Source organism: Homo sapiens, chromosome 1 (genome assembly GCF_000001405.40).
Source record: "Homo sapiens chromosome 1, GRCh38.p14 Primary Assembly".
Taxonomy (NCBI): Eukaryota; Metazoa; Chordata; class Mammalia; order Primates; family Hominidae; genus Homo; species Homo sapiens.
Window position 1 is genome coordinate 243,984,637 of NC_000001.11, and position 21,261 is coordinate 244,005,897.

At 44.5% G+C, this 21,261-nt stretch overlaps 1 long non-coding RNA gene across 1 annotated transcript in view; it reads left to right on the top strand.

Annotated features, from left to right (window-relative positions):
* The window catches only part of LINC02774 (long intergenic non-protein coding RNA 2774), a 129,916-nt gene that overhangs the window by 67,235 nt on the left and 41,420 nt on the right, over nt 1–21,261 (top strand). The window contains exons 3-4 of the long non-coding RNA NR_033883.1: nt 18,747–18,864; nt 20,422–20,522. This is a non-coding gene — a long non-coding RNA (long intergenic non-protein coding RNA 2774). The remainder of the gene's footprint in view (nt 1–18,746; nt 18,865–20,421; nt 20,523–21,261) is intronic.

Here is a 21,261-nt window from a genome sequence, read left to right on the forward strand (position 1 = left end):
GAAAAAGGAATCCAAGGATCAGGTGTGGGATGTGTGAGGAGAGTGATTTGTGAACTGAGATCCACAACACCGGGCCACAGTAGGACTTAGCTTCTAATTAGAGCCTTGTGTCTGTTGTCGGGGCATGAAGACTCCTTCTAGATTCAGCTGGTGGCTGGAGAGATTTTGCACAGTCCTAAGGGGAAGTCCTAAGGCATACTCATCCATCTACCCACTCATTGATTTATTCACGTATTCAACAGCTAGATGTGGCGTATTCATTACTCAACACCTATTAAGGGGTCCCCTACGCACCAGGCACTGTGTCAATGTCGAGACTGTGCAAGGTCACGTAAAGTTTCATCTTTATCCTAAAAGCAAATGGAAGCCACTGAATGCTTTTACGAAGAGATGTAACACAATCAGATGGCACGTGGAAAGGCCGCTCTGCCACAGTGGAAGGGATGGACATGGCCACAGGCAGGCAAGCTGGGAGGCTGTCACAGGTTCGGCATGAAGGTGATGGCTTGGACAGGGGTGGTGCAGAAGGTACGGAAAACTGATTGATGTGAGAGATACTGATGTGCTAAACTTGAACGGGTAGGACATAATGCTGGATTGAATATGGGAGAAGGGAGGGTTTGAGAGAGAGGGAGATGCCAGAAATTACTCCTGGATTACTGGTTTGAACCACTAGATGGATGATGGTGCTATTCATTGCAAGAGGAAACCCTGAAAGGAGACAGGTTATGAATTGGGATGCTCAGAGTCAAGCCATTTCCTCTCGTTAGTCCTGCTCTCCTATTGCAATCATAGACCACTTTAACTACCTCTGTGGGCTCCTAATGGGCCACTTTTGTTACCTCCACAGAGCATCGACTCATTGCTCAGAACCTTGCTCTAGGAAAGTTTGCTTTTTAAAAAAATTTTTTTAAAATATATTTAGGAAGTACAAGTGCAGGTTTCTTACCTGCTCATATAGTGTCGTAGTGAAGTCTTGGCTCCTAGTGCACCCATCACCCGAAGAGTGAGCGTTGTACCCAATAGTAGTTTTTCAGCTCTCAGCCCTTCCCACCCTCCCACTCTGCTGCCTTTTGTAGGAGAAGAATGTTTTCTAAACAAGTTGGTGAACACAGTGGGAAAGCCATTAGGTGAAATAACCGCAAGGGGATCTGAAAGTCCTACCGCAGCAACAGTGGGTAGGGAAGAACCTGGATGGGTTAGTCTTGGCAATTCTTCAATATGGCTACTGAGCCGCTAGCGTCAATCTTTCTGGCTTTCATAAGATTTTCCCACCACCCAGCCTCACAGAGTCTGTTCCACACATCTATCAGTGCCACCTGTTTTGGTGGTCCTTTCCTTTAGTTTTTTTCTGACTCCTTTGGAGCTTATGAACAGAAAAATGTTGAAAAGGCAGGCCAAAGACATTACTCAGCCAGACAGTGATATTTATTGAGCCAACTGTGTAAAAAACACTCCACTAGTGTTTTATTTGTTATTTGTTATTTGTCTGTCTGTTTGTTTGTTTGTTTTTAAGCAGGGTCTCACTCTATTGCCCAGACTGCAGTGCAGTGGTAAACCGGCTCAACTTCCCTGGCTCAGGTGATCCTCCCACCTCAGTCTCCTGAGTAACTGGGACTACAGGTGTGCACCACCATGCTGGGCTAATTTTTGTATTTTTTGTAGAGACGGGGTTTTACTGTGGTGCCCAGGCTGGTGTCGAACTCCTGGGCTCAAGCATCCACCTGCCTCAGCCTCCCAAAGTGCTGGGACTACAGGCATGAGGCACTGTGCCCAACCTCTACCAGGGATTTGAAGAGGTAAAAAAGAAATGGCTCCCAAGAAAAGAGAAGGTAGAAGCAAAACATCTGGGTAGTTCACAAATTGTACAACCAACTCCTGAAAAACAGAAAAAGGCATGGTTGATTTTTCAGGAGGTTCCATGTACAGAAGCTAGGATCTCAGCATAGGGAGGCAACTGAGCTCCCAGCTTTGCTGTTTTAGAAGGGAGGGCTGGCAGACACTTGAAGCTCTTGGGGGTGCTAATGCTAGGATTTTACAGACTTTGACCACATCGCTTCCTCTCACATTTTCACTGGAAAGGACAATGAAAACTCCCTACAGGGCAAGTCAGCTGCTGATGTAAATTACCAAAGTTATAACGACGTCTTCCTGGAAAACATCCCTTTTTTATGTGTAATTTCAACGAAAATGAAATTCATTCCCTCTGTCTAGTGGGTGAGTTGATCACAGAGAACTATTTAGGTAAAGCAGAAAATGTTCATAGAATGTTGCAGTGTAAATTATGAGGATAAGAGCTTTCCTTCACTCTAGGACTCATAATAAAAGAGTCGATCCACATTTGGGGTCTAATGACCCCTGAGATTTTTTTTTTTAAACAATGTCATCAAACTCACTAGGGCCCAATTGTGGGAAACTGAGGTAGGGGCTTGAAATACCATTTCCTGGCCATGTACTGCATACCTGAGTCAGGCACTGCAGGAGCTTCATAGACACTATTCACTTAATTGTCACAACAACCCTATTAACTAAGTACTGTATCCCCAGTTTTACAGAAAAAAAAATTTCAAAGTCAAAGGCATTGGCCACACAGCCAGTGCAGGACAGAATCAGATCCAAGAGTTCTGCTAGGTTCCATTGTCCGTGATATTGTGTTGTCTCCTCTTCCCAGTTCCCTTTCCACCCTTTTGATCTTTTCCACTTGGAGAGAACTAATCTTCCTGAACCGTATGAGCCACATCAAGAAGTTCCTGCTGAAGCCTCAGTATCACCTGACACTTGTTGGCCATCTAAATTCTCAGGTCCTGCCCCAGAACTTCTGTTTGAGTCTGTTTGGGCTGCCATAATACAGTACCATAGACTGGGTGGCTTTTAAACAACAGACATTTATTTCTCTCAGTTCTGGAGCCTGGGAAGTCCCAGAGCAGGCACTGTGCCTGGTGAGGGTCCACTTCCTGGTTCATACATGGCACCTTCTTGCTGTGTCCTCACATGGTGGGATCGGCAAGGGAGCTCTCCAGAATCTCTTTGATAAGGGTGCTGATCCCATTCATGAAGATAGAGCTTTGGTAGTCACCAAAGTCTCCACCTTCTAATAGCATCACACTGAGGGTCAGGAATTCAACAAGCATTTGATTGCAGCAACCACTGAAGATGAAACTCTGGGGTTGAGTCCAGCAATCTGTGTTGTAACAAGCCCTCCAGGTGATTTGTAGGAAATGGGAGACTTAGAGGGATTCCTTGGGGATCTTTACTAGGACATGTCCAAGAAATACTCTGGAGTAATTCAGGGAAGTAACCAAGAACTCTTCAGGGCTCAACTACCCATGAGTGGCAGATCACTTCCTGGGGGACTGCTAGGGGTTCTTTGTGTTTATATGAGTTGAGGAGCTGGGCTGGAGGGAGTGACCACCTGGGACCGGCTGTGCCTGCAATCTTTGCCTGCACATAGGAAAACCTCCTGCGGTTTTCATTTCCTAAGGACTCTAGCAGCCCTGGTTCTCTCCAGGTATTACAAAATAGGCCAACATAGTTTACCCTCACCATTGCAGGGCAGTCCAAGCTGAGCTTTTCTTGTCACATTTCCCACCTTGTCTGAGTCCTCTTCCTGGCAGGGAGGCTGGCACTGTGGAGGACAGCGAGCTGCTCTGGGAGAAGCTCCTCCAGGCATTGGCTGGTGGTAGGAGGCCTCCTATTTGAAGCTGTTGGTGATGCCATACCTGGGGAAGATGTACACTTGGTGAGAAGCAGGTAGGGAGCCAAAGATGGTAAGCTGGAGAGAAGACTCCGAACGGACCCCCAAACAGGAGAAAATGCAGCTGTCCAAGGGTGATCTGAACACCAGAGGTCTGAGAGCAGGGAAGTAGCAAATGCCTGGGGTAAGTGTTATGGTCCAGGAGCTGCACATCAGAATTATCTGGATAAAATGATAGGTGTTAGAGCCCTTCTACGGGTTACTGAATAGGAAACTCCAGAGTTGGGTTTACTGAATAGCAAACTCCAGAGTTGGGGGCCAAAGAATCCATTACAAACATTTTTTTAGAGACAGGGTGTATCTCTGTCACCCAGGGTGGAGTGTAGTGGTGTGATCATAGCTCACTGCAGCCTTGACCTCCTAGGCTCAAGTGACCCTCCTGCCGCAGGCCTCCCTATAGCTAGGACTCCAGGAGCACACAACCATGCCTGGCTAATTAAAAAAAAATTTTTTTCTAGAGAAAGGGTTGTGCTGGGACTCCAGGCCCACTGCATCCAGCCAGAATCCATTTTCTTTTTCTTTTTTCTTTTTTTTCTTTTCTTTTTTTTTTTTTTGGATGGAGTTTTCTCTTGTTGCCCAGGCTGGAGTGCAGTGGCATGATCTCGGCTCACTGCAACCTCTGCCTCCTGGGTTCAAGCGATTGTCCTGCCTCAGCCTCCTGAGTAGCTGGGATTACAGGCACACACCACCACACCTGGCTAATTTTTGTATTTTTAGTAGAGACAGGGTTTCACCATGTTGGTCAGGCTGATCTCAAACTCCTGACCTCGTGATCTGCCTGCCTTGGCTTCCCAAAGTGCTGGAATTACAGGCGTTAGCCACCATGCCTGGCCCAGAATCCATTTTCTAAGAAGCTCCTCGGCTTGCTGATTCTGATGTGGCTGGCCAAGCCATGATCCTGGGATTTAGAAACCATTGCTGCCTTCTATAATACTACGTGAGCCCACTTGGTATAAAGGCCAGAAATAGGGTGGGTCACCTGGGATTTGTGTGCACTTTTGGTTTCAGATTCAACTTTTCAATTAGTTAGTATATTTGGTGTGGCTGTTTTAACAGAGATGGAAAGCAGTGGGTTAGACCAGATAGTAGATTTATTTCTCTTTTATATGAACGTCTGAGGTAGTAGGGCATCCAGGGTGGCACACTGGCCCTGCTCTACAGGGTTATCCCAGAGGCCCAGGCTCCTTCTCTGTTGCCATCTGCCATCCCTTGAGATGCTGTCCCCATCCAATAAAACTGGCTCACAAACACCACATCCGGGTTCCAGCCCAGATGAGGGGAAAAGAAAGCACAGTGAGCAGCTTCCTTGGACCGAAGTAATCCAGAAGTGGCAGGTGTCTCTTTCACTCACATCTCATTGGTTGCAATCTCCTCATATGGCACATCTGTTGCCAGGAAGATTGGGGAAATAAAAAGCTTAGCTTGGTCACCGTTGCCCCACTAAATTTGGGAAGTTTGATTATTAAAGGGAAAATAGATATTGAGGGTTAATCCGATGTCTTTCCAAGTGGCTTGGAGTCACTACACCCCACTATACCAAGCTAACATTTTCTATCGTTATGGTCCATTCTTATCCATCCCTTGAAGGCCAGTCTCCTCTTTTTACATTTTATGGCCCTAGACATCATGGAGGTTGTGACAGGGTCTGTAGCTGCCACACCGGAGGTCATATTTCAAGCTGCCCAGGGCTATGCTTCCTGGGTGGAGTGGAAGGGTGAGGGTGGGTGTATTAGTCTGTTTTCATCCTGCTGACAAAGACATACCTAAGACTGGGCAGTTTACAAAGAAAAGAGGTTTAATGGAGAACTCAGAGTTCCATGTGGCTGGGGAAGCCTCACAATCATGGCGGAAGGCAAGGAGGAGCAAGTCACATCTTACATGGATGGCGGCAGGTAAAGAGAGCTTGTGCAACTCCTTTTTTGTTTTTTGTTTTTTTTTAGACAGAGTTTCGCTCTGTTGCCAGGCTGGAGTGCAGAGGCGATATCTCGGCTCACTGCAACCTCTGTCTCCCAGGTTCAAGCAATTCTCCTGCCTCAGCCTCCTGAGTAACTGGGACCACAGGCGTGCACCACCACGCCCAGCTAATTTTCATATTTTTAGTAGACATGGGGTTTCACCATGTTGGCCAGGATGGTCTTGATCTCCTGACCTCGTGATCTGCCCACCTTGGCCTCCCAAAGTGTTGGGATTACAGGCGTGAGCCACCACACCCAGCCGGAACTCCTCTTTTTAAAACCATCAGGTCTCATGAGACTTATTCACTACCATGAGAACACCACAGGAAAGACTTGCCTCCATGATTCAATTACCTCCCACTGTGTCCCTCCCATGACCCGTGGGAATTCAAGATGAGATTTTGGTGGGGACACAGCCAAACTCACTATCAGAAAAAGAGAGCTTGTGCAGGGGAACTCCTCTTTTTAAAACCATCAGATCTCATGAGACTTATTCACTATCATGAGAATAGCACAGGAAAGACTGGCCTCCATGATTCAATTACCTCCCACTGGGTCCCTCCCACAACACTTGGGAATTCAAGATGAGATTTGGGTGGGGACACAGCCAACCCATATCTGTGAGGTTAAGGGGTCAATAAATGGCAGTGGGTTCAGTGGTCCTGGCCTCACTCCTAGCACCTGCTCACATATCAGTTTAAGGTAGTTCTCTGGATTCTTAAACTAGGGATTCCCAGTTCTGTTTGTTCGTTAACTCTCATTGAATCAGTACACATTCACCTACAGCTCTCACATCATAAACATCTGTGTTGCCACAGAATAAAATGCAATATTTAGCCTATGGCATCTTACCCATCATATATTCGTACCCAACAAAAATTCTTAAATGTAATGGGAAAATCACTCAACAAAATGTTATAGATTGTGGGCTATGAGCCAAGAAGTGTTTATGGTTTGATTTCTAGCATCTGACACAACACAGGCATACAAGAAATATTCTTTGAATGAGCAAGCGATTGACTGTGAGGATGTGGAGATGAAGCAAACTGAATGAGAGTTCGTCATTCAGTGGGAAAAATGCACGTGCAGGCAAGACCTCATAATACCACTCAGGGACACTTCAGGCTCCCTGTTCATCTTTCATGTCTCAGTGTTGGAGCATCGCCCCATCACTGGGTCAGTCTGCTCACCTCCCTGCAGGTGTGTTTTTGAATTAGCACATTCAACAACACCACTGTTGACATTTTGGATCTGTCGATTCTTTCCTGGGGTTGAGGGGAAGAGGCCTGTCTTGTGCATTGTAGGATGTGTAGCAGCAGCCCTGGCCTCGACCCACCAGATGCCAGTAGCACCCCTCTTCCAGTTGTCACAACCATACATGTCTGCAGACATTACCAGATGTTCCCTGAGGGCCAAAATTGTCTTCTTTTGAGAACCACTGGGTAGACCCATTACACATCTCTTTTACAAGGTGTGCCACAGATGCCGACCAAGGACTTGTGCAAATATTTAAGGACGAGTCATAGCTTTGCTCTCAGGGATACTGGCTGTTCCCACAGGCCCCCAGCTCATGCAGGGGAGTGGATTTCTGTCTTGGTGAAAATATACATCTTATTCTTAAAGTTTCACAACAGGATGACAACATTGCCTCCCTCACATCTGGTTTTAGGGCACATGGTTCTCATTCTAACCTATAACACCAAATCTTTGCATCAAGTCAGTGGTTAAAAATTTATTCAAGAATTAATGAAATCCAGAAACTGGCTGGGCGCGGTGGCTCACGCCTGTAATCCCAGCACTTTGGGAGGCCGAGGCTGGAGGATCACGAGATCAGGAGATCGAGACCATCCTGGCTAACACGGTGAAACCTTGTCTCTACTAAAAATACAAAAAATTAGCCGGGCATGGTGGCAGGTGCCTGTAGTCCCAGCTACTCAAGAGGCTGAGGCAGGAGAATGGCATGAACCCGGGAGGCGGAGCTTGCAGTGAGCCGAGATCGCGCCACTGCACTCCAGCCTGGAAAAAGAAAAGAAATCCAGAAACTGTCAGGGTTCACTATGAACATCTGAGATTTGAGAGGCAGGTTAATCATTCTTGTTTACATCCCTGTGCACATTGCTAGGTACAAACTTTACTGTGCAACAGAAACATTTGGGGAGTTTGTATAAATGCATGTTTTGATCCCATTTCTAGAGATTCTGATTCAGTGGATTTAGGGTGGTGCTCAGGAAGCTACGCTGTCTGAAAAGCTCTTTTAAGTAATCCGTAGGCTACACTTTGAAAAGTGATATTTATTTCTCCAAGTATTATTTCTAGATGAAATTAGACATCCAGAAAGAAAAACTCTCTTGAAATCTAGTAATGTTAAGTCCTTACATTTTATTCCTTTTCAAAATGTTTCTGACGATTATAGAAACTTTGCATTTCCATTCAAATCACCTTGTCAATTCCTACAAAAATATCTTACTATTGTCTAGTCACTGTCTATTTCATTGATTGATTTTAATTCTCTGCATAGCACTTAAGTACTTTTAAATTATCACTGATCTCCTCCCACTAGAAGATAAGCTTCATAAGGGCAGAAGAATTATCATTTCTTTTTTTCTTCACTATATCTCCAGCTCCCTGAGTAATGCCTTTCACATATTAGGTTCTCTATACATATTTATTTTATTATATTTTTATTTATTCATTTATTATTTTTTTTTTGAGGCAGTGTCTCGCTCTATTGCCCAGGCTGGAGTGCCGTGGTGCGATCTTGGCTCACTGCAAACTCCACCTCCCGGGTTCAAGTGATTCTCCAGCCTCAGCCTCCCGAGTAGCTGGGACTATAGGCACATGCCACCACGCCCGGCTAATTTTTTATATTTTTATATACGGGGTTTCACCATGTTAGCCAGGATGGTCTTGATCTCCTGACCTTGTGATCCACCCACCTCGGCCTCCCAAAGTGCTGGGATTACAGGCATGAGCCACCACGACATATTTATTGAATAAATGAAAAAATAAAAATAAATAAGAGATACGAAATTGTGTACTCAAGTCCAGTTTAAGGGTATTTTACTGGACAGTAACATCTAACTTTCTATTAATCACAGTATTTTATTAGCCAGAACACCTATCTGGTTAAACAGTTACTTTGTTTCTAATAAATAGGAAAATAATTCATGGCTAAATGATGGCCGTGTCTTGTTCCACGGTGGCTGCTTCTCATTAACCTTCATAATATGCAGATCTGCTGTTGAAACGGATGGGTTTCAGGTGATTTGATCAGCCTAATGAAGTGTAGAGCAAGTGTTTTGTAAAGGGGCGCAACAGTCAAGACTCCCTCTGGCAGGAAGGCAGACTCACTGGAGATGGCAGTGCGGCACCCAAGACCTGTGCTTTCATTTATCTCTCAAACTCACTATTCCTTTCTCTCTTTTTCTCTAGCACTGTTTCTTGACTCATGCCTAGAACTCCACAGCTTTAAGATAAGTATCAGGACTCCTAGTTGCAGGTGAATGAAATCCCAACTCAAATGACTGGAGAAAGATGGGAATGCAGAGTTGAGAGAGGGGAGGGTTGATATCTGGTCTGGTGGGGTGTGGCGCCCACATGGTCTCCTAAGAATCCTGCTCACGTTTCCCCTGGGTCAGCTTAGTTCTGGGGAAGCACTCTTTTCACGGTGGCAAGTGGATGTTGGTATCTGTGGCCTTACCGACTCTCACCTTCTCAGGATGCCCACAGAAAGAATTTCCCTTCCCCAACAGTTCCAATAAAAACCTTGGAATTGGGCCAGGCATGGTGGCTCACACCTATAATCCCACTGCTTTGGGAGGCCAAGGCAGGAGGATCTCTTGAGGCCAGGACTTGGAGACCAGCCTGGGCAACGTACTGTGACCCCATCACTACAAAATAAAAAAGAAATGAGCCAGGTGTGGTGGTGCACGCTTGTAGTCTCAGCTACTTGGGAGGCCAAGACAGGAGGATTGCTTAACCCAGGAGTCTGAGGCTGCGGTGAGTTATGATTGAGCCACTGCACTCCAGCCTAGGCAATGGAGCAAGACTCTGTCTCAAAAAATAAATAAATAAAGGCTTTGAATTGAGTCTCATTTGTTCTAATTGTCCTCGCCTGGATAGCTTGACCACCCAGATGTCACTGTGGCCACTGCACCTGGTGCTCTGCAGGAACAGCCTAGGTCTCACATCCACTTCTTGGGCCAGGAATGAGGCTAGCCCCACAAAACCCTGGTGGATCGAGCGTGAGAAGATGGGTAGATACGGGGCAGGAAAAACCGCAGATGTCCACTTGAGCAGTAAAAGGGGGCCACGGTTGATGCCTTTCAAAGGTGAGGCCTGAGAGGGGTGCTCCTTGCAAATCTGCCAGTGCTGTGTCTTTCCACATGCTGAGTCCTGGCTCATTGGAGCCCTTGGGAAGTTCCTGTCGGGCATCTCAGGTGCATGTTGCCCTCTTAGCTCCAGACCTTCGGTTTTGATGGTGCTCTTCCATTTGTACCCTTGCCGTGCATAACACTGTGATATAATGAAAAGTATATATTTGTTTTTTGTCCCCAGTTCCTGGCGCAGAGTTCCTAAAACGCTTGGAATTTCCATTGTGTTAGGGGTAAGAGGAGCGTCTTTTGTTACTCATAACAAGTCCCTTTCAGCCACACCTTAGTTTATGTTAATGAGGTGACCTCTATGAAACCCCTAAGGATGAAGGCTGGTTTCCAGGGGAACCGTGTGATTAGAGGTTGAAGCTTTTAGCCCCGCCACCCAGGAAAAGGAAAGGAGCTAGATATTGACTTAATCAACAAGGGCCAAAGATTTTATCAATCAATCATGCTTACATAATGAAGGTAATGGAACCTCTATAAAAACCCTAAACAATGGGGTTTGGAGAGCTTCTGGGTCGGTGAACCCATGGAATTGCTGAGAGGAAAGTGTGCCCAGAGAGGGCATGAAAGTTCTGTGCCCTTTTTCCTATCCCTTGCCCAATGCATCTCCCCCATTTGGCTATTCTTGAGTTGTATCCTTTATAATAAACTAGTAAACATAAGTAAATATTTCCCTGAGTTTTGTCAACCATTCTAGCAAATTATCAAACCCAAGGAGGGGAATCAGGGCAACAGCTGATTTATAGTCAGTCAGTCAGAAGTTTGGGAGGCCAAGACCAGATGGGGTTAGTGACCGGCGTCTGCTGTGGGGATACGTATTGGTGGCGTACATATATTTTTAAATGTATGATGAAGTTATCAACTATAATCACCCTGTTGTGCAGTCAGATAGTTTGTCTTATTGTGGGACTGAGTCCTTAACCTAAGGGGTCGATACCAACTCCAGGAAGTTAGCATCAGAATTGAGTTAAACTGTAACACATGCAGTGTTCACCAAGACTTGAAGGACTGGTGGGTGTGGGATAACCCTCCTTCCTTTGGTGTCAGAAGTGTGAGTGTAGTGATAACAGAGTGGCCCTTGGGTGCCACTTCACTGTGACCCTCGGGTACCCTCCTGTTCTCATTTCCAACTCTGACCTTAATAGCCACCCCCACTCAGGCAACATCCCACAAGTTGTCCACACGCTATCCCCGACCATATGCCTAGAGTCTCAAATGTGACAACCCAGCACTTCTGCTGACAGAGTAGAATGTATGAAATCTGGATATGGATGGCTAATGGGTACATTAAAAAATAGAATTAATAAGACATGCTGCTCTTTGATTGTACAACACGGTTACTATAGTCCATAATAACTTAATTGTACATTTTAAAATAACTGAAAGAGTATAATTAGATTGTTTGTAACACAAAGGATAAGTACGTGAAGAGATGAATGCCCCATTTTCCATGATGTGATTCCTACTACGTACCCACAAAATTTTTTGAAAACTAAAAAGAAAGAAACTGAACATGATTCTGCTGGAATCCAAATGTCATCCACTGGATTCATAAAACACCACCACACATCTCTACATAGAAAAACAAGGACAAGGCCAAGAGTTGGAAATTCAGGAACTCTACCCACCCCATCCCCTTCCCTTTGGGTTCAGTGTAGGCACATCCTGTCTCTCAAGGGCCATAATGAAAGTGTTGTCTCTGGCCATGACCTTCTATTATTTTTAAGTAGCTGTGGCTGAACAAAAGACAAATAAAAACTTTCTCTGCTTGACATTAAAAAAATTACTGGCATGTCATATGGTAATTCATTAAAGAATTCTCATTCATCAAAACAATTCATTTTTGTTGGAAGAGGCTGAATAAGCAGTTTCTTGCTGATTTCACTGTGAGCCTCTCTGGCCACATGAGTCTCTGGTTCATATGCACTAATTTTATTCTCAAATATTAAGAGTTCTGGGGGGGCATATGTGGAATATTTTAAATCAAATGGTGCTATTTTACTTAGACACCTCCATATAAGCTCATTTCCCTCTTTATGTTTTTTCTTTTAAATTCTAACACCTAGAATTTGCATTCAGTCACTTTTTTAAAGATGGGAAAATACACACCAAATGGATTGATTTGAATCTGCTATTGAACTGTGTATAGGAAAATGGTCTCAGGGTAATTTTAAAACTTTTTTTTTATAATATCCTAACGTAGGGGGAATTATTCCAGAGTTTCCTGGATTTCTGAGCATAATTAACCCTTTGTAAATATGTGCTTTTCAAAGTCCTTCATGATAAAGAAAACCCAGTTCATTTTTTTATGGTAGTTTTGTTTCCACACCACAGAAAGATAGTTTTTGGATTTCCCCAAAATTTTTTTCTCAGAGATCTTTTTTTTTTTTTTTTTTTGAGATGGAGTTTCACTCTTGTTGCCCAGGCTGGAGTGCAATGGCATGATCTCGGCTCACCACAACCTCCACCTCCCGGGTTCAAGTAATTCTCCTGCCTCAGCCTCCCTAGTAGCTGGGATTATAGGCATCTGCCACCATGCCCAGCTAATTTTTTGTATTTTTAGTAGAGACGGGGTTTCACCATGTCGCCAAGGCTGGTCTTGAACTCCAGACCTCAGGTGATCCACCAGCCTCGGCCTCCCAAAGTGCTGGGATTGCAGGCATGAGCCACCATTCCCGGCCTCAGAAATCTTTAGTCAGGATGGTTTCCCAATATCTAACTTGTGTTATTCATTTAATATATTTTATCTTTTAAAAGACTCTTTTCCTTTTTTTAGCCTTTCACCTTCTTCCATGAGCCCAGTTTCCTTGGTGAAATCTGAAATCTTAATGCCTGTCCCTCTGACCTCTCCTTATTTTCTTTCTTCTCCTCCATAGAGCAGAGACTGTAAACTCAAAATGCTGAGGTCAGATAGGGTATTTTAAATGAGTAAATAGGTTGGGAATGACAGAAAGGAAGCAAAGAGTATATGGGAACTCTGGAAACCAGAGATACTAGACTAAGGAGAAGGTTGCCACCATTTAGCGCCAGCTAAGAGTCCCCATAAGAGATGATCAGCGGCAAGATTGCCAGAAGGTACACTTCCAAGAGAAACCAGAGATCTAGGTTTTAGTGTGAAATGTTGCAGTTTTAGAAATAGTCAATTATTTAAAAATTTTAAGACCCAAAGCCTGTACACGTCCCACAGACACTAGAAATTCTTTTACTCATGATTGCTCCATGCTTTCACTAAAGTTACTTCCATTAAAATCTGATTAGGCCATACTCTTTTTTTTTATTTTTTTATTTTTAAGACAGAGTCTCGCTCTGTTGCCCAGGCTAGAGTGCAATAGCGCCATCTCAGCTCACTGCAACCTCTGCCTCCGGGGTTCAAGCGATTCTCCTGCTTCAGCCTCTCAAGTAGCTGGGCCCACAGGCGTGTGCCACCAGGCCCAGCTAATTTTTGTATTTTTAGTAGAGACGGGGTTTCATCATGTTGGCCAGGAGGGTCTCGATCTCTTCACCTCGTGATTCGCCCGCCTCGGCCTCCCAAAATGCTGGGATTACAGGCGTGAGCCACCGCGCCCAGCCTAGGCCATACTAATTCTTACTCTTCCCCTCACCTCCTTAGTAGTTGGGCCAGAGTTTTACAAGTTGCAGTAGTAACCTGGTAAGTATCTAATGACGAGGGTCCTGCTTCTCCCCTGCTGGTTATTTCAGGCACTGGGACCAGAGCTCTTCCTAGGAAAGAGTGAATTGGGACCAATTTCTCTTGGTGGAGCTTTGCCACTGGCCTGTGGACAGAGACTGAGGAGGTAGTTGGTGGTCAGTAAAGAGGTGGTTCTGCCCTTCAGAGAGCCACCTGGATTCCGCGCTCCATCTGTCCACTTCCCCTTCTAATCACTTGGTACTTTTCCCTCCGCCCTTCTTAATCCAGCACCACTGCCACCATTGTCAACACCAGGAGAGGCTAGATGCAGGCTCATCCTGTGTACCCCATGTTACCCCCACACAGCACACACACGTAGACACACACAGACATACACACATCCACACAAAGACTCACATACACACATAGACACACACATATCCAGACATAGAGACACATTCACATACAAACAGAGACACATTCACACATATGGTGACACACACACCCACACACAGAAACATACATTCACTTACACACATACACACACAGACACACATAGACACATACACATCTGCATACATTCACACACACAGACACATAGATACATGCATCCACACATAGACACACAGGGAGACACGCACACATCCACACACAAAAATATACACATCCACATCCAGACTACACACACACACACACACACACACACACACACACACACACAGAACTGTCATGCCCTGATTTGTTTTCTTCTCAGCTGCTCTTGATGTTCATTTTTATTTGATTTAACCACAAAAAATGTGGTGTGTCTGGGATTTCCAATGCTGTGAACAGGACTGAAGAAGTGGCATGTGCTCAGTTAGATCATCCTCCAATTGGTCCACAAGTGTGTGTAATCGGGAGTTAATAGTGTTGAATTACACCTTGCTTTTTGATAGTACTTAAGTTTTTTAAACATTTTTGCAGTTATCATTTCATTTTAAATTTTACAAATAAACCCTGTGGCTCCAGTAGTGAAATATTGTCCCTTTTTTAACAGATTTGAAGACTTGTCAGTAAGGCTCAGAGGTTTGCTTGATGACACTGGGTGATCAGACATATGAGCGTCTCCAAAGACATCTGGACATCAATTTTTTTTTTTCAGACGGAGTCTCGCTCTGTCACCCAGGCTGGAGTGCAATGGTGTGATCTTGGCTCACTGCAACCTCCACCTCCCAGGTTCAAGCAATTCTCTGCCTCAGCCTCCCGAGTAGCTGGGACTAAAGGTGCATGCCACTATGCCCGGCTAATTTTTGTATTTTTAGTAGAGATGGGGCTTCACCATCTTGGCCAGGCTGGTCTTGAACTCCTGACTTCGTGATCCACCTGCCTCGGCCTCCCAAAGTGCTGGGATTACAGGCGTGAGCCACTGCGCCCGGCCACATCAAATATTAAAGTATGGCAAGGGATGACATGGATTTTCACTGAATTGTGTGAGTGGTTTTATTTTTCCTATGATTTTATTTTATTTTTTAACAAAAGTGATTCGTCACCAATGGTAACTACACAGGTGATTGAATATTTATAGTGTAGTTGACTATGGTGTCCCAGTTTTTGGTTTTGTTAATTTGATCACTGTATTTATGATGCCACTCAGCCAATTAGTAGGAGATCAAAGACCAGTTTTCATTTTCTGACTATGATGATCTGTTTGGTTTTTTTCTAATTAGATTGGGTCAAGCAGTTCAGAAAGAAGGGTGAATGTAGAGTTTTCATGCAATGTTCTTGTTTGTGTATACCTTGCTAAAAAATTTTAAAGCATTACCCTACTAACTTATTGCAAACTTATGATCTAGCAAACTCTTCTTTGGGGGAAGCTATATCAATTGGGAATTTTCTGTCTACAAAAACCTGAAAACCCAACTGACTATAACTGTAAAAAAAAATAGTATCTCTCCCAACAGCCAAACTTGGAAGAATTTTAACAACAAAATAAGTAGTATTGGATTGCAACATAAAGTATAAAATAAATATCCATGAATCCATACTGATATAAATAAATGATTGCATAAATAAGTCAATAAATCGGGGAGAAAAGACAAATCCTTGCAGAAGAATTCCAAATAATTTATGTAAATACCCTGCCCTCAAGGAGGTGGACCACGCTTCCCGCTCCTTCAGGTTGGGCTGCCCATAGTGACTTCTATCTCAAGAATACAGTATAGAGAGGGGTGGGGGGAAGAGTAAATTGATAGTGGAGAAACCTCACAAACACTACCCCAGGCAGGAGGTCAAGGTCAGTATCAGCAGTGATAAATCATGTTGAAAGTGTGTACCCTTGATATGTGATGAAAATGGCACTTTACCTCTGTGGTCTTCCTCCTCCAAACCCCATAACCCCGGTATAATTGTGAGAGAAACATCAGACAAATCCCAATAGAGAGGTATCCTACAAAATACATCACCGTTACTCCTCAACTGTCAAGGTAAATCTGAGAAGCTATCGCAACCCAGAGTAGCCTAAGGTATCATGACAACTAAATGTAATGTGGTGTTCTGGGTGGGATCCTGGAATGGAACGTTAGGCAAAGCTAAGGATATCTGAATACACTCTGGGCCTTAGTTAGTAATAATATATCCAGTATATTGGTACATTTGTTAATTGTAACAAATGTACCATACTAATGCAAGATGTTAACAATAGGGAATCTGGGTGAGGGATACATGGGAACTTGCTATACATCTTCTCGATTTTTCTGTATATCTAAAACTGTTCTTAAAAAAAAGTGAAATTTTTTTTTTTTGAGACAAGATCCCACTCTATCACCCAGGCTGGAGTGCAGTGGCAGGATCATGGCTCACTGTAGCCTTGAACTCCTGGGCTCAAGTGATCCTCCCACCTCAGCCTCTTGAGAAGTTGGGACTACAGGTGTGCATCACCACGTCTGGCTAATTTTTTAATTTTTAAAATGTTTTGTAGAGGTGAGGTCTTGCTATGTTGCCCGGGCTGGTCTCGAACTCCTGGGCTCAAGCAATCCTTCTACCTCAGCCTCCCAAAGTGCTGGGGTTACAGGTGTGAACCACCATGCCCAGACAAATGTAGTTTTAAAAAAGTCTTATTTTACCTAAAAGAGAATACTCACAGGACATGGCCAGAGTCAGTTGATTAAGCAGAGAAGCAATCCTGGAAGCTCAGGTGCTTTCCGCCTGCCTGCTCTGCTCACCTGATGTGGGCTGATCTCAGTTAGTGGGTCTCATGGTTGTAACAGAACCACTGCACTTACCAGGACACAGGCAGGCACAACAACATCCGACAGGAGGCAGAAACCATTTTTCATTATGTTTCTTTGTAAGTGTGAAGGTCCTTCCCCTAGAAGGCCCCAGGAGGTCTCCCCTCGAGACCGCTGGATAGAACCGGTGCCGTATCTGCTCCTGAACCATCACTGACAAGGGAATAAGATGACCCCAGCATCTGACAGGAACAGGAGTTCCCTTGGGTCTCATAGTGGGGACATCTGAACCAACTGGGCTCTTCCAGCCCCTAAGAAGGGGCTGAGGAACTGGCCACGCTGCTGTGCAAGCTGAAGCAAAGCAAATGACCTTCCTACTTGGAAGGGTTGTGGTTGTATCTGCTTCCCCAGGTTGGACACACCACTCCAGTCCCTGTTAAACCCCATCCTCTTTGTGTGTCCATTTCTCCAACTTGTGTGAGTCTTTTTGAAGGTTAATGCTTAGATATTCTATATTAAGCTGCGGGCATATTCTTTTTCTCTTTTCTTTCCAGTGGTTGCCTAATGGCTTTGCTACTCACTGTAACTCTTCCCATCTCTCAACATGAATAGAGAAAGCTGCTTGGCTCAGTTCCCTGCTTTGGGTTAGTTTGGAGGCACTTATTTGCAGTGCTCTCATATCTGTGCTCTATTTTCAGGGCTCATATGGAGCTCTGCTAAGGAAAGTCATTTCCCCCCTGCTTTTCATCAGAAAAGTGTAGATGACAAGTGCCTATATAACAGACCCTTCATCAGAGTCCTAAACATTTTTCCAGTGCTCCAGCCCTATTATGCTACTGCATTCTGTCACTCTCACTCTCTCTAAATGGTAATATATGTTATTAAGATGCTAGATTTTCTACTTGCAGTAATGTGGTTTCTAATAGGTTATGGAATAATTTTTGTAAATAATTATGATCAGTAATCTGGGTCCCACAGTCTTGTTTTCAGAGGCAGGAGAGGAGAAAATCCTTCAAAATAAAATAGGTAAACCTTTTATATCTTCAAGTGAGAATAAACATTGACAGTAACCACAGTTGCTTTTTTTCCTAAAACCAAGAAAAGGAAAAAAAAAAGAACGAAAAAAGAAAGAAAGAAAAACAAGTGAGAATAAGAGTGAACTAAAGATCTAGATTCTACAAATGTACTTGTCAGAGAGTGGTGAGTCCTATGGTAAAATAAATCCAACAGGTTTGGAAGCCTGGCTACACTCCTGAGAAGGGGTATATCAAGGAGACTTTGTTCAAGAAGCAAAACCAAACAAAAACAGAGGAAGAGACTTAAAACCACATTATTTCCTGGCGAAGAGTGTAAGCTGAATTGGGGGAAGGAATATGGACTCAAGACAACCCCTGGGGGAAAATTGGTGCTTCCTCCCAGCCCCCACACTGCTTACTTCTTCCCTTTATCTGCCAATGTAGATAATAAGCCAACAATAAAACAAGCAAAGAAACCGCTATCTAATGATCATTTCAGAGCCTTCTGTGCCTCTTTTTCTCACCCAAATCTCTAGAGAAGCGATGGTGTGGACATGAGTTTTATAATAGCTGATGAACTTGTTCTGGGAGGAGTGTATGTGTGCAAGTGTGTGTGTGTGTGTGTGTTGTGCTTGTGCACACATTCATGCATGCATATGTGTGTGTGCCTGTGTGCATGTGTGCCTGTGTGTGTGGCTGAAGAGAGGAGAGAGAGACACAGAGAGAGAAACTATGGGGGCACCTGTACTTGTCTGATTTGAAAGGATAATGTTTTGAGCCAAAGTGATTTAATCTCTACCTCATCTAGAAGCTGCTTTAGAACCACAGAAGCCTGGATCATCTCTACAAAGGGTGCAAGATGAAGGTGTTAGGACAACTTAAAGAGACGGGAGGTGCTAGGAATCGGCAGGTGCCTGATTGCCAAGGTGAGGCTTGAGAATCCTGCTCTCCCCTCAGTCTCTCCCAAGTATTGTTCTTCAGATGCTCCCTAAGGCCCTTCTTGTATGGAAATGTGTCTCAGATCTATCACCCGGTGTAAGACAGTTAGTGCCAGGGGGCAGGTCTAAGTGTGCCTACTCTGAAATGGACTTTGGGAATTAGATCATCCACAATCCCCTGGCATAGTTAGTGGGCAGTTATTAACATTCGCCAGTGATGAATTGAGGTGTCCTCAGGTGCTTGAGTTTAGGGTATGGAGAGGAATAGTAATGAAAAGTACAGTGACATCAGATAGCTCTTTCTGAGTGACACCAATACACTGGAGAAAGACAATGAAAGGCTGCGAGTGAATAACCACTAATTTAAGGCAAAGTGTGAGAGTTGGAGGACCTCCTTGGCAGCACATGAAGAGTTCCCCATCTCCTGAAGTCAGAGGCAAATAATAAGAATAAATAAATTGAGGATCATGCCTAGGACTCAATTATAAGGTTAGTGGAGCTCCAGAGAAGATGGGATCCTCAATCCCAGCAAATTCTCCACCCAAATCATGGCCCTGGTTGGGAAGAAGTGGGACTCTGAGCCTTGGGATGGGGATATCTGGGTTGATCACTCTTGCGTGAGCCCTGAAAAGCTGGGTTCTCCGCAGTCCTCGGGCCTGCAGAAGTGGCCCACTCCTCCCTGTTAGAGGCTAGCACCCCCACCCCCACTTCCATGAGAATGATGAGGAGGTCTTCACCTTGCAAGGCAACACATGCCCCTCTCCACCTCAGGATCTGCCCCAACATCCACTCCCTGTCAGATCAACCACTAGGACCAAGTCAGAGCATAACCTGGTTGGGGAAATGTTGGGCCTGGTGAGGGAAGAAGGGAACTATATGTTGAAGAATCTGTAGGAACTAGCAAACATACAACAGCAAAAGTTGGGAACGTATGTATGGGGCTGGGTCCTGAAAGTGCTAGATCAAGAGGGAAAGGATTATAAAGTCGGACAACGGAGTTTGTTGATATGGGAAGTCTCTCCCATGCTATAGAATTATACATCCTGGCAAGGACCTGGGAGATTATACTCTGGGAATACACTGTTAGGTTGGTACTCAGAAGTATAGCAAGAGTGATGAGCTACCAGGACTACTAGAACTTCTGTGGAAAATGATGGAGGAAGAGATCGAAAGGCTCAGATAAGTGGGCATGCTAGACTGGGAATACTATTCAATCCAGAAAATCTACCAGCTGACTATATTACATGAGAGGCCTCTGATCATGCTACAGAAAGTGAGAGAAATCCCATGAGGATCCTGATCCACATGTGTGTGTGCCTGAGTGCATTTGTGCATGTGTATCTGTGTGTGTAGCTGAAGAGAGGAGAGAGAGACACACAGAGAGAAACTATGGGGGCACCTGTACTTCTCTGATTTGTCAACGAATATATAGGGATCCAGTACTCTAAGGGATCCTAAAACATCCCCTCCAAAGCAATATGGAATCTATTGATAAAAGGGGCTTCTGATATGGTGGAGAAGCTCACTATTGGTTGTCCTCTGCAGGCAGGGACTGATGGTGGGAGATGTTGTTACAGAACTGGGCTTCCTGATAGCAATGAGGATGAAAAGATTCCAAAACAATAGATTTAACCAGCAGAATCAAGGTGGGTACAATTATTATAATGGGCATCTAGGATAGAGTTGGGAAGGGGTGCTCTGCAGAGAGCTATGGTAATGGTTAATAGAGCTTGGTATTTCTAGGAGCAAGATAGATTGCAGCTGACAAGGGTATTGCTCAATCTGTACCTCAAAAGAAATTAAGAATGAGTGATCAAGAGGCCAAGGGCGGCCATCCCATTAAAACATCATGATCCCTTATTAGTTTCTACATGTGCGCCAGTTTTCAGACCTGGAATCCATTAACTGAAGGATAACCTGGGTCCTTAGGAGGAAGGATCCTGTATCACCATAGCAACTGTATATGATGATGATTTGCCCAATATTTCTCCAAAGGAACCTATAGCCTTTTACTGAGGTAATCATCTGGTTGGGGAAGAGGGATACTCGGACATGTTCAGGATTGTTGGATGCAAGGTCTGTGTTCACATTAATACCTGAGGATCTGGAGCATCATCATGCTCCTCCTGTTAGAACAGGGTACATGAGCATCACGTGATTAATAAAGACCTGGACCTGGACTGATTCACAGTGGGTCCCCTGGGTCTTCCAACCTACCAAATGGTAATTTTCTTAGTCTCAGTGAATCATCGGAATGGATATACTTGGTCTTTGGCAGAACCCCACATTGATTTCTTGGTTTGTGAGTTTGTGGAGTGATAACTACTGTAGTAGTGAAGGTTAAGTAGGAAAACTCTGGCCGGACACAGTGGCCCACGGCTGCTG